Source organism: Homo sapiens, chromosome 16 (genome assembly GCF_000001405.40).
Source record: "Homo sapiens chromosome 16, GRCh38.p14 Primary Assembly".
Taxonomy (NCBI): domain Eukaryota; kingdom Metazoa; phylum Chordata; class Mammalia; order Primates; family Hominidae; genus Homo; species Homo sapiens.
In genome coordinates this window covers 10574999-10587409 of record NC_000016.10, presented here as the reverse complement: position 1 = coordinate 10587409, position 12411 = coordinate 10574999, and the positions used below count along the sequence as shown (strand labels likewise).

Sequence of the window (12411 nt, the reverse complement as noted above, 5' to 3'; positions counted from 1 at the left end):
AAGGTGCTATCTATTTGTCAAGCTATCTGCCCTGAGAGGTTACTATTTTCTAAATCACTGGCTCAGAAGAGGCATCTTTTTCTAATTTTCATATAGGCACTGTAAAGATTAGTGGGGCTGGGTGCAGTGGCTTGCACCTGTAATCCCAGCACTTTGGGAGGCCGAGGCAGGAGGATCATTTGAGCCCAGGAGTTCGAGACCAGCCTGGGCAAAATAGTGAGACTTCATCTCTGCATAAAATAAGAAAATTAGCCGAACATGGTGGCACACAGCTGTAGTCCCAGCTACTCAGGTGGCTGAGGCAGGAGGATCACTTGAGCCCAGGAATTTGAGGCTGTGGTGAGCTACGATCTCACCACTGCATTCCAGCCTGAGCCACAGAGCGAGACCTCCATTTCTAAATAAAATAAAATAAAAATTAAATTAAAATTTAAAAGACTAATAGGAACACTGGTTGTTCACCCACTGTGTGAAGACATTGGTGGAAAAGCCACGGGTAAGATAGATGAAACCTCTGCTCTCGGTAAGCTTGTGTTCTATTGGGGAATGAAGACAATAAGCAAGAAAGCACACACTTGAAAAAATACAAATCTAATTACAGATTGGAAACAGCATTATGGAAGAAAAGCCCCTCACGTGAGCATCTCCACTGTGCTGGTTGCTGAAGGCAGAGGCTGGAGTCTGGAGGCTGAGGCTGCCTTATCTTGGACCCCCACCTCTCAGAGGACATCAAACAACGGAGGAACGAACAAGAGCAAACAGACATAGCCTGTGTCCAAGAGGATTTTAATCCCACATTACGAGGGAATTCCAGAATGTCAACATATAAGGCCTTTAAAATCAAGAATCTCATTCATCCAGAATAGTTTACGTACCTTCCTGCCAGGAGGAGAGAATGGGGAGGAATTCCTAGGCCTCCTCCCGCCACATCATTCTTTGAATTTTGAACTGCTGGACCATGCATGGGGCAGTAGGGTAGAAATGGAAGGCATCCTCACTTCCCCAGATCCAAAGATTTGTAAGGATGCGAGAGTCTGGCCAGAGTCCTAAGGTTGAAGTTGCCTGCGGCGGGGTAGGCAACTGAGGTCACTTGGATTAGGAAGATATTTCCATGGTTTTATAGACTAAGAGACACCTCACAAAAAGATACCCAGCAATCTTGCAAAGAAAAATAAAACACATTTCGGTATGAAGAAGGATAATGAGCAGAACTGACCAGGGTTGGTTAGTGAGTTCCACGAGATCAAGGGGTTTTGGGGACAAGTTGGTTCACTCACTGCTATATTCCCAAAGTCTCCAATAATGTCTGGCACATGGGAGATTCAAAATATGTATACATTGAGTGAATAATTGGAAAAAATCACCTTTTTGGCAGAAGGGAAATAATTTTTTTGTAAAATTAAAAAAAATATATTTAGAAAAGTACAAGGATGGCGCAGTGGCTCATGCATGTAATCCTAGCACTTTGAGAGGCTGAGATGTGGGGACTGCCTGAGCTCAGGAGTTCGAGACCAGCCTGAACAACATAGTGAAATCCCGTCTCTAACAAAAATGTAAAAATTAGCCAGGTGTGGTGGCAGGTGCCTGTAATCCCAGCTACTCGGGAGGCTGAGGCACAAGAATTGCTTGAACCTGGGAGGTGGAGGTTGCAGTGACCTGGGATCATGCCACTGTCTCCAGCCTGGGCAAACGAGTGGGATTCTGTGTAAGAAAGAAAAGAAAAGAAAAGTACAAGGATGCTCTCATAGACTGAGGGATCGCTTTTATGACTGTACTTGGGATCCTGGGAAAATCACAGCCCACTCCTGGGACATTATTAACAACAGAAACATCTTTTTTTCTTCTTCTTTGCAAAACTTTTTAGTGCCAAACTGTTCTTTTCAGAAGACAGGCCAAGAGAGCTGGCCTCCATCCTCCTTGCCACTCTGGGGACACCTGGGGACTTTCTTCTGTGACTTGCCAAGAACATCCCATGAGCCACGCTGGGTTCCAGACGTTTGGGTAGTAATGACTCTGGTGGTGGAGCACAACCCCCACCCCCTGCTTCCTGTTATCCTTTCTAACCGTATTTCAGGGAAATTCAAATCTGGGAGAGCTCTGAAGCTCCATTCCTGTGGTGCCAAACCTCCTGATGAAAACAGAACCAGAGTCAAGCAGCCAGATGTTTCTATAATGGGAAAAACCAGGGCACAGCCACTTACCTTTGTTCTACTCACAGACATTTGCATTCATTTCATGTGATGGCTTTAGGAGACACGAAACAGCCTAAAACAGCATGGTTTGGGGCTGTTTCTCCAGAAGTTTGGAAATTCTGTGGTTGTTGCCTTTGGTGCTTAGTCAAACCTTTGTCATAAGTCAAACGGACACTATTTGTACTGTTCATTCTTATTGCATTTGCAGGATGTTTTATGACAGCAGTTTGTAGGTGTTTCTGTGACAGAAATCAGAGACAAAAGGAAGCAGGAAAGGTCAGACTCAAAAGGTATGGCTTTACCCCCTGACTCACGGTGAGAAGCTATGAGACCCAGAGCTCTGAGCTTTAAGTCGGACGATACTAGGGCTTGAAATCATTATCCCCATCCTTTTCCCAACCCAGTCTGTGGAGGTGGGCGGCAGGGAGGAAATGGCCTCAAGAAAGCATGTTTCTCAGGTCCCACTCTAAGGAATTCAGATTTCCTGACTCTTCATACAGTAAGGACTTGGGGGCTACCCAACCATCTGACTCACACCAAGATGGCAGCCTGCTGAGCCACACTTAGAAGTGCCTTTGTGGCTGGGCGCGCTGGCTCACACCTATAACCCCAGTACTTTGGGAGGCCGAGGTGGGTGGATCACCTGAGGTCAGGAGTTCGAGACCAGCCCGGCCAACATGGTGAAACCCCCGTCTCTACTAAAAATACAAAAATTAGCCAGGCATGGTGGTAGGTGCCTGTAATCCCAGTTACTCGGGAGGCTGAGGCAGGAGAATTGCTTGAACCTAGGAGGCTGAGGTTGCAGTGAGCCGAGACTGTGCCACTGCACTCCAGCCTGGGCGAGAGAGCAAGACTCTGTCTCAAAAAAAAGGAAAAAAAAAAAGAAGCAAGTCATTAGGTGCAGCCCACTCTCAAGGGGAGAGAATTACACAAAGGCATGAATACCAGGAGGCAGGCGCATGGGGGTCATCTTAGCAGCCTATGAACAGTTTGTTTTCAGCGGAAGCAGCCACTGAATGGAAGTTAGTAAAACCCCTGGCATCTGTTAAGATTCAGCTAACCCACCAACTAAAAGTGGGTTATGATGGTTGAATCACATTCATATTCAATCTATTCCCATCAGGAGTTTGTGGCTATTTGAAAAAATCTCCATCCTTCTTAACAAGAGTCCACGTTGTCTTCTCCATGACCTATGCTGCTACAACGTTGAGTTCTGTTCGGCTTTCTTAAGGTTGGGGATCAGATTTGCACCCAGGCATGGGCACCCCTAGTCATTCCTTCTAAGAACAAGAAAGAGTGAACAGGATCCAGGTACAAGAGACTGCAGAACCCTAAAATGTTCAAGCCAGGAAAGACACATGAGAGATCACTGCATAATCAATTATCTTCTATCCCACCCTGAACCAAGCCCCCATCCTCGATGACTTTCCATACCTTCAAATGCCTTCCTTACAGTTCTTTCTCTCTCTCCATATAGACCAGCTACTGCTGTGAAACAAACAACCATGAGCTGCAGTGGCATGCAACAATTAGCATGCATTTCTCATTTACATGTCTGTGGCTTGACTGGAGTAGCTCTGTGTCTCTGACAGAAGTTCTGTAGGTCCTCTAGGGTAGCTCTATTTCACATGTCTTTCATTTTCTGGGACCACTAAGCTGCCAGAGGTATACTATGCTCATGGAAATGGCAAAAGAGAGAGAGGGCAAATCCTACCACCCAGGCACCCTTCCGTTCTTTGTGTGTGTCATCTTTGCTAATATCTCATTGGCCAAAGCAAGTCACATGGCCAAGCTCAAGATCAAATTGAGGAATATATTCCTCTCATCACGAGGCTATGGCCAGGGTCGGGATGTATACTACTAGTATAAGGGGCTGAAGGACTGGGACCAGAATTCCATCAAACACACTCTTACTTTCCCCCACACCAAGTTCATTATCGAAACACCAGAAGCAGGAATACAAGCAGGTATGACGCAGGTTTCTGTCTCCCATCTTCCTAGAGGGACAGGAGTATATTTAAAGACAGAAAACAAAGAATAGCAAGTAGCAGGTGAATGGGACAGACAGGTTGGGCTCTGGAGAGGGTTTAGAAACAAGGCAGAGGAGCAATTGTCCTGTTTTTTTTTCTGCGTCTTGGAGAGGGATCTTGGGGGTCTGGACGGGTTCTTTCCAGTTGGGACACACCCCACCAGCTGGTGGCTTGGGAGACAGTACAGGGAGGAGGCATCTCCTGGCTCTGAATCAGAGTGAGAACATGACTGTCTTTTCCAATGATCTTGCAATAGTTCTGATAACAGAAGAAAGACTTCTCTGTGTTAGCATGCTTTTAACATCTTACTGATCACCCCCACTGTTTTTTTAAGAGACAGGGTCTTGCTATGTTGCCTAGGCTGCCTCGGAACTCTCAGGCTCAAGCGATCCTCCAACCTCAGCCTCCCGAGCAGCTGGGATTACAGGTAAGCACCACCGCACCTGGCTCCCTTTTAATAGACGCTAAACCTCAGACTCATGGACTCTTTCAGGCAACAGTATCTGGCTACAATTTACTAACACTGTTTTATTTCAATAGTGTTTATATTCATAAGTTTGTCTTCTACTTTTGGCAGATGGCACTGGTTTCCTGTTTACCATAGCAATATAGGGCTTTCTTTTTCAAATAAACATATTAAAATCAACGGAGTTAATTTAAAGAAAACAATTAAGTGAATACCAGTTCAGGTGGAAGGTGGATATGGCAAAATTTAGAGCTTGAGTGTGGTTAGCATTTGGTAAATAGTGATAGGGTGGAAAGAGGAGAATGGGGTTTGCTGCAGTGAGTCTGGGTTCAAATCCAAACTTTATCAACTGCATAGAGACTTTGGGTAAGTTACTGGTGTAGCTTCTCTGAGCCTTAGTTTCTTCATGGATAAAATGAGGGTAACTTGTTTTGCAGGGCTGCCGTGTTCTATTGAAGGTTATGTTTGTAAAGTAACCGGCACACACTAAGCCCTCAGCAAATGCAGAAACCTGCCTGCTCCATCCCCTACCTGGCCTTTCCATTCTGGGAGACTCTGGAGTTTTCTCTGTCCTCCACATGGCCATAGGCAGGTAGGTGGGCCCTTCCTGGTCCTCCTCTATAGCAACCAGACCTCACCCTCCTCCCCTTTTATGGAGGAAGAGGACTCAGTTCATATTAGTGCCTTCCTGTCCCCTCTCCAGCTCCAAACACACACACACACACACACACACACACACACACACACACACACAATTATCTTGGGGGATGGGAGTCTTGGTTAACTGTAGAATTAAAGGAGATTTGGCAGGTCAGACCCTAGGCCAACTTGGGAAGCTCAAGGCCTGGGGGAGGGGGTGGCCCTTTAGAGGGGATCTCAAATCCCCCAAGGATCTCTAATTTAGAGCCAACAAGGCCCTCTCGTGACAGAGCTCCTCAGCAGGACTAAAAAAAGATGCTCAACAGAAAATACAAACATGGAGTCCAACCAGAGCACAGGATTGCACAATAAATTAACATTTCTTAAAAGGGTTTCTCATTCTCTTGTCAGTAGCACAAGTCAATTGCCTTGTATTCTGGGGTATGTGCAAGTAACATGAACTTGTTAAATTAAAAGTTTAAAATATACTGTTATATGTTGTGACCCTGTTTTGGAATTTCTTCAATTTGTAAAAATACACTGACTCCCACTCCCTCCTTCCACACACACACGATGGGGCTCAGGCGCCTCTGGTCTCCTCCCCCATCCTCCCAAGAGCCCCTAGAGCAGATCAGCCCTCCCAGTTTCCAGATGGGGAAACTGAGGCTGGAAAGAAAGGCAGTTCCTTTGATGTCATTTCCAGGGACACTAAATACCAGGACTGTGGGTTGAAAGGCTGTGGGGAGTGCTTTGTGTGAGTGTGTGTGTGTGTGTGTGTGTGTGTGTGTGTGTACTGGTCGGGTGGGGGGAGTGAACGGGGGGTCCTGGAAGAGTCTGAAGACTGGTTGCTGGGCATCTCGCACCAAGGCCAGGACTCCAGGTGAGATGATAAAAATAACAATGGCTGACGTCTATGGAGCAGGTACCATGAGCCAAACATTGTGGACGTATTACCACCTTCCGACCTATAATCACTCCCATTCCCAGAAGAGGAAACTGAGACAGGGGAGATTATGGACGAGCTCAGGAAGTTCATAAAAGGCCAGAGAAGGGGTTCTAGAGCAGGGAGCCCGGATTCCAAAACTCCTTAGGGAAGAGGAAGAAAAGGGGAGAAGAGGAGAGGAAAGAGAATGAGAGGGATGTGGAAACCTGCAGAGAAGGGAAGACCCTTGCTCCCGGGAGCCTCCCTTTCTCCCTTTTCCCCCGGGCCCGTGCCACCGGCTCCGCCCCAAAGCTGGCCACAGAGCCGCAGGGAGGCGGGCGGGAACGGTGGTGCGGGGGCGCCAGGGCGCTCCCGGCCTCGGCCTTTCCCTCCAGGGCCCCCTCCTTTCGCCGGCGGCCCCTCCCACTCGGCTCTCCCGGCTCCTGGCGTCACGGCCCGGGAGGCGGGATCGGGGAAGGAGGGGCCCCGCCGCCTAGAGGGTGGAGGGAGGGCGCGCAGTCCCAGCCCAGAGCTTCAAAACAGCCCGGCGGCCTCGCCTCGCACCCCCAGCCAGTCCGTCGATCCAGCTGCCAGCGCAGCCGCCAGCGCCGGGTGAGTTGTGGGCGCACCCAGGGCGCGGGGCGACATCGGGGGGGCCCCGGGATCGTGTACGCCCGGGCAGCAGGGACGCGACCCCTCCACTTACTGGACCGGGAGCAGCCCCCGGAATTGGTGACAGTAACGGGAGGGCCGAGGTGCCACCCATGCCGCCGACCTCTGGTCTGCGCCACGCTCGCTCCGGCCCCAGAATTCCACTTCGCCATCCCGGGACAGCTTCCCACGCCTTTTGAGCCGAAGCAGGCGGGAAAAGTTTGGGGAGGAGTCAGGGCGCCTCCCCTCGCCCCGCCGGACTTACACCCGGGGCTCTTGGAGTCCAGGGAGATCCCCAGGTCGCGTGAGGGATTCCCGGGCAGCGTCCCCAGACTCGCCTCGCGGGCAGGACTGGTGCGCCAGGCCGGGCCAGCGGGTCCTCCTGGGCTGCGTACCCCTCTAGGCCCCCGCCGCTGCTCCGTCGCGCCCCCGAGCGGCGAGGAGCGACTTCTTGGGGGTCAGGAACGGTGGAGGAGCCGGGAGGCGCTGCTGGGATGACACCTCTCTCCCTGCCAACTCTAGAAGGGCTTGGGGGGCTTTAAAGAGGCGAGACCGCACCCATGTGTTCCAGAGGTAGGAGAGGCTGCAGCTCGTAGTGTGTATTCTACGCCCTCCCCAAATCCAGAGATCTGAGCACGCTCCAGGGAGGTCTTTTAGGTGAAGATGTGGGGCTGGACATGGGGACTCCGAAGACACCACAGGGCAAAGCTCTCCCTCCAGGCCAGCTTCAGTTTTGGGGAAGGGAGCACTGCCCCTCCCAAGCTTTGAGGGTGTGTGTGTGTGTGTGTGTGTGTGTGTGTGCACCTTGATCTTATAATTCAGCTGTGTCTAAGTAAGGGGCTTGGAGAGGGACTTAAGAAGCCTCCAGTTCAAATACAGTGTGATTCCACTTTTATGAGACACCTAGAATAGGCAAATTTTATAGACAGAAAGTAGAATGATGGTTGCCAGGGCCTGGGGGTACCTGGGAACCGGGAGTTACTGTTTAATGGGACAGAGTTTTTCTTGGGGAGGATGAAAAAGTTTTGGGTATACATAGTGGCAATGGTTACACAGTATCGTGAAGGTATTTAATGCCACTGAGTTGTATGCTTATCATCGGTTAAAATGATGATTATGATGTTATGCATATTTTATCATAAAAATTTTTTAAAAGCCGCCTTTAGCCACCTCTGCACTCCAGTCTGAATCAGAGAGAAATCTAAGAACCGACACATTATTGCTGGGCACCTCTTCCTGGAATTCGGCCTTCAGTTAAGAAAGCTTAAAGAGGACGAGGAAGGGACGGGGTCCTGGTTTCCCAGGAGTCACACAAGGGGAAGGATGGCGACCTGAGCTGCTGGAGGTTTGCAGTTGGCTGGTGCTCGCCCTCCATCTCCGTTTCTCCCTGGGAGCCTCACCCCTGAGCTGTTTCCAGCACGCTCTCCTGTTGCAAGTGGGGAAACAGGCTAGAGATCTAAGTCGGTTTGCTCAAGGCCACTGAGCTGGTAAATGCAAAGAACTAGACCTTGAACCTCCATCTGCCTCCCAAGCCCTCCCCTTCTTTCCACCTGGAGATGCCCTGCTGGTTTGCAGGGAATGAGGGGAGACCCTTCTGGGGAAAACAGGGCGTGGATGCCCACGGGGGCCTTGGCAAATGCCAAGACTACAGCCCAGGGAGAGGCGTGGAGGTGGCAGGAAGGTGCAGAACCTGTTTTCCCACTGAGGGTTTTTGGATCTCACCACCTCCATCCCATGGGGAGCCAGGGAGTCGAGTAGGAGGCAGAGGGCTGGCCACATAGCCTGGAGCCTCCTCTGCCCCTCAAGTGGAGAGATTGAGGTGCGCCTGAAATCCAGAGAATGTGTTTGTGTTGGAAACCACGGAGTCGACCAGCTGAGTGGGTGAGGGCAGGGCCAGGCGGAAGCGTCCCTGTGAGGAGGGTGAGGCTTGGGGCTGACACTGCCCCACCTCGGGCTGGAGGAGGGGGTGCACCCGCTCTGGCTGGCACCACCCCAGATTAGGGTCTAGCTAATGAGGGGCTAAAAGGGCTTGGTGGCGTTTTATTGTGGCTATGGAGCACATCCATTTAGCAAACCGCCCCCGCTTCTCCACCCTCACCCCAGTAATGGCACTTAAATCCTTTCTTCCTGGAACGGAAGTGAATGTTTCACCTCAGTATCTTTTCTCTGCCTCTCACATAATATCTTCGTAGTAGGAGCTAAAACCACATGCATATGTGCACAGACTCCCCAATTTCCCGCAACAGGTAATTAACAGGGAGGATCAACCAGCCCATTTTTCACCCTAGGCATAGAGTGACACTCTCCTGCCCTCGCCTCTGCTATACAGCCTTCCAGGTCAGTGAGGGCACAGCAAAGGCCACTTCTTTGTCATAGTAAACTCCGCCAGACGGGACCAGGAAGGGAAGTCTGTCGAGATGAAAATATATAAATGTCCTTCCAGGCCAGATGGGCTGGCGCTGGACTGCTGGCTGCTTGGCGAGGTTTGTTTGGGAAGCAGATGTCCAGCCTCCCTCCTTTTGCCGGGAGGGGGGGGTCAGATAATTGTGTGTGGGGGGGTGGGGGGGACAACATGTGGCTGCTTCCCAGCTCTGTGGCCAAGTGGGGACTCTGACGCGGGCTACAGGGGCTAAGGTGGGGACAGGGCAGGGCTCTCCAGCCACGGGAGTTCCAGAGGGGAGGCGGTGACGTTACTTACCCAAAGGTGGGGTGGGGCCCAGGCACTGGGATTAAGGGAGCAGATCTCTCCCAGAGGAGAGAGTTAAAGGCCAGCCTCGGGATGCCTGTGCAGGAGGGGTGTGTGTGTGTGTCCGGGTGTCTCAGGAGGGCAGGTGATTGGCAGCAGCAGCTGGAATGAAGGAAGAGGGCAGTTGGCATCATAGAAGGGATGGAGGCCTGACTCTTGGACGATGGCCTCAGCATGTGCAGGGAAGGAATGGGGATTGGTGTGGTGGTGACAGGCAGAGCAGTCTCCCCTTCTCACCCCAGGAGTGGTGAAGCCTGGCTCCCTGCAGAAGTTAGCCAAAGAATGCAATTTCAGCAGCACTGTGGCAGGAATCAGATGCATCTGGCTCTTGTTAGGGACAGGCCAGGGGGGAGTCTAAAAATATCAGAGGCAGAGCTGCCACCCAGCGAGAGAGTGCCGGGCTGGTAACCTGACACCTGAGCAGAGGCTGGTGGTGGTGATGAGGGCACCTGTCCTGCACGGCTCCAGAGGTACTCATGCTCCTTCAGGTGCCTGAAAGGGTGAGAGCTCACTGCATTCGGGACAGCCCTGGGCTAAGATTGGAGAATTTCAGGGCATAAGGACCTTAGAAGTCCCAGTATGACACTGACAGCTAGGGACACTCAGAGAGGTGGAGTGACTTGCCCAGGTCACACAGCAATTTGGCAGCCGACCCAGGACTAGATCTAGGCCACAGCTGAGGGGAGTTCAGTGGGATTCCAGGCCCAGGTCCCCAGGGCCTGGGACCCTTATAGCACGTGTCATCTGTCCAGGAGGCTGGATTTCCGTGCTCCCGTGCTGATGGGACAATGGTGAGCAAGAGCTCCGCTCAGGCAGTAGGTCACTTCCCACTGAGCACTGGGTCGCTCCCGGGCAAAGCTGTTGAACCCTGGGAATGCTGGCCCATCTTGGGGCGGGATATAGGGAGGAAGGAGGCTGGAGGAGAACTGGCCAAATGAGTCCCTCCCTCCTTCCCGTGCAGAGACACTGTTGGTTTTGTTCATGCAGTATCTCCGGTGCTTAATGAGTAGCTGCTAAAGTGAATAATTGAATTCCTGGGGCCCTCATCTTCCTTGGCAAGCTGGGCTTCTGTTGATCTAAAAGGGACTGAGGATGAAGAAGAGACTTCTCCGGTTCCTGCTCTTTAGGGACAGGCTAGATGACATCAGCTTCTAGAAGCTTCCTGGAACTCTGGGTCCAGAGCTGAGGGAGGGGTCACCAGGGTGATATTTGACACCATGATTGTCCTGAGAAATCTAGGATGCAAAATCGCCATCACCATGCAGGATATACAGACAGACAAGCCAAGCGTCTCAGTGCAGACCGCTCATAGTCTTAAGATCAAGCAAGTTTTTCCCAATAGCAAAGTCGTGCACTTTGAAGATTTCTCTTTTGATGACCTGATCACAAACTTCTCTGAACTGTCTTTCCTCAAAATGCAATGAATTTAAGAAATTTGCAGTGAATAAATAAGAACCAAAGTTTTTTTGTTGATCTTATGAATGTTTTCCAAAATGTGTTACCACTGGTGGCACACAAGATAATTCTCAAAGGCCCATGGCATAAAAACAGAAAAGAATAATTATGTCTTCTTCTTGATTGGTATTGGGGGAAAAAATGTAAGTAGCACACAAACCCATGGTTTCACAGATACTTCTGCTTGGGTTGAAACAAAAGTTGATCCTGTAAACTTTAAAACATTTTAAGATACTCAAAGAATTTAGTTAATAAGCACAGTGGTCCTTGCTTTTGGCAAAAATCTGAGTACTAGAGTGCCTGCTTTTGGGGAGATGGCTTTATAAGAGGGCCTGGGATGGACGTGTCACACTTTTTGGAAACATGACTCATCCTGAAATATCTGAGAGCTTCCAGACCAAGCCCTTCTTTTGCAAAGAGGCCCCTATGTTCAGCTTCAGACCGAGACCTGCAACTTAGCTTCCAGGGGAGTCCCTTCATCTTTAATGAGGGTCATGATTCCACTCTGATGACCTTTGCCAGCTGTCTGTGGATCAGAAGAGATGATATATTGATGCACATGGAAGTGGCTTGATTTGTTTGTGGTTTGCTTGAACCAAAGGAAGGCTGAGGGAGAGGCTGGCTTCCTCACTTTAATCTTGATGGGTTATTATTAAGCAACTCTGTGCAGTGAGCTGCTGCAGGCTTTGGCAATACAGTGGGGAATTTTCCTGTCTTCAGAGGAGGTTATCATCTAGCGATGGGGGTGACAAGTCCAAGAATGCAAGCTCCTCACGCCTGTAATCCCAGAACTTTGGGAGGCCGAGGTAGGTGGATCACGAGGTCAGGAGATCGAGACCATCCTGGCTAACACAATGAAGCCCTGTCTCTACTAAAATTACAAAAAAATTAGCCCGGTGTGGTGGCGGGCGCCTGTAGTCCCAGCTACTTGGGAGGCTGAGGCAGGAAAATGGCGTGAACCCGGGAGGCGGAGCTTGCAGTGAGCCAAGATCACGCCACTGCACTCCAGCCTGGGCGACGGAGCGAGACTCTGTCTCAAAAAAAAAAAAAAAAAAAAAAAAAAAAAAAAAAGAATGCAAGCTCCAGGACCAAGGCCACCAGATGTGGTTTCAGGGAAGCCCACCATATGTGGTGTGCAAAGGTTTCCTTAAGCCTGTAGTGTTGGAGATGGGCTTGGGAGGATATTTCAAATTCCCCAAGCAGTGATGGTTTCAGAAAGTTCAGGCAACAAGGAACAGTGAGAGAGTAGGCAGAGGTTAGCTGGATGTGGTGGCACATACCTGTATTCCCAGCTACTCAGGAGGCTGAGG

General features: G+C 50.4%; 1 protein-coding gene across 1 annotated transcript in view, besides 4 other annotated features; it reads left to right on the top strand.

Annotated features, from left to right (window-relative positions):
* Positions 2074-3273: an enhancer, noted in NCBI's record as "CDK7 strongly-dependent group 2 enhancer chr16:10677994-10679193 (GRCh37/hg19 assembly coordinates)". NCBI's record gives its function as "activates an origin of replication core promoter dependent on BRD2, BRD4, P300/CBP, MED14 and CDK7 cofactors, with strong dependence on CDK7, by STARR-seq in HCT116 cells {active_cell/tissue: HCT116}" and the evidence as "EXISTENCE:reporter gene assay evidence [ECO:0000049][PMID:35650434]".
* Positions 6652-6891: a silencer, noted in NCBI's record as "silent region_7193". NCBI's record gives its function as "represses an Ori minimal core promoter by ATAC-STARR-seq in GM12878 lymphoblastoid cells {active_cell/tissue: GM12878}" and the evidence as "EXISTENCE:reporter gene assay evidence [ECO:0000049][PMID:35858748]".
* Positions 6812-12411, top strand: part of EMP2 (epithelial membrane protein 2) — a 52177-nt gene continuing 46577 nt past the window's right edge. Inside the window, exon 1 of the mRNA NM_001424.6 lies at positions 6812-6861. The gene's annotated coding sequence lies outside the window, so the exon portion shown is untranslated. The remainder of the gene's footprint in view (positions 6862-12411) is intronic.
* Positions 8209-8786: an enhancer, noted in NCBI's record as "H3K4me1 hESC enhancer chr16:10672481-10673058 (GRCh37/hg19 assembly coordinates)". NCBI's record gives its function as "activates a minimal SCP1, AML or CMV promoter by ChIP-STARR-seq in naive H9 embryonic stem cells {active_cell/tissue: H9 hESC(naive)}" and the evidence as "EXISTENCE:reporter gene assay evidence [ECO:0000049][PMID:30033119]".
* Positions 8244-8538: a silencer, noted in NCBI's record as "tiled region #11768; K562 Repressive non-DNase unmatched - State 20:ReprD". NCBI's record gives its function as "represses a minimal TATA promoter and a strong SV40 promoter by Sharpr-MPRA in K562 cells {active_cell/tissue: K562}" and the evidence as "EXISTENCE:reporter gene assay evidence [ECO:0000049][PMID:27701403]".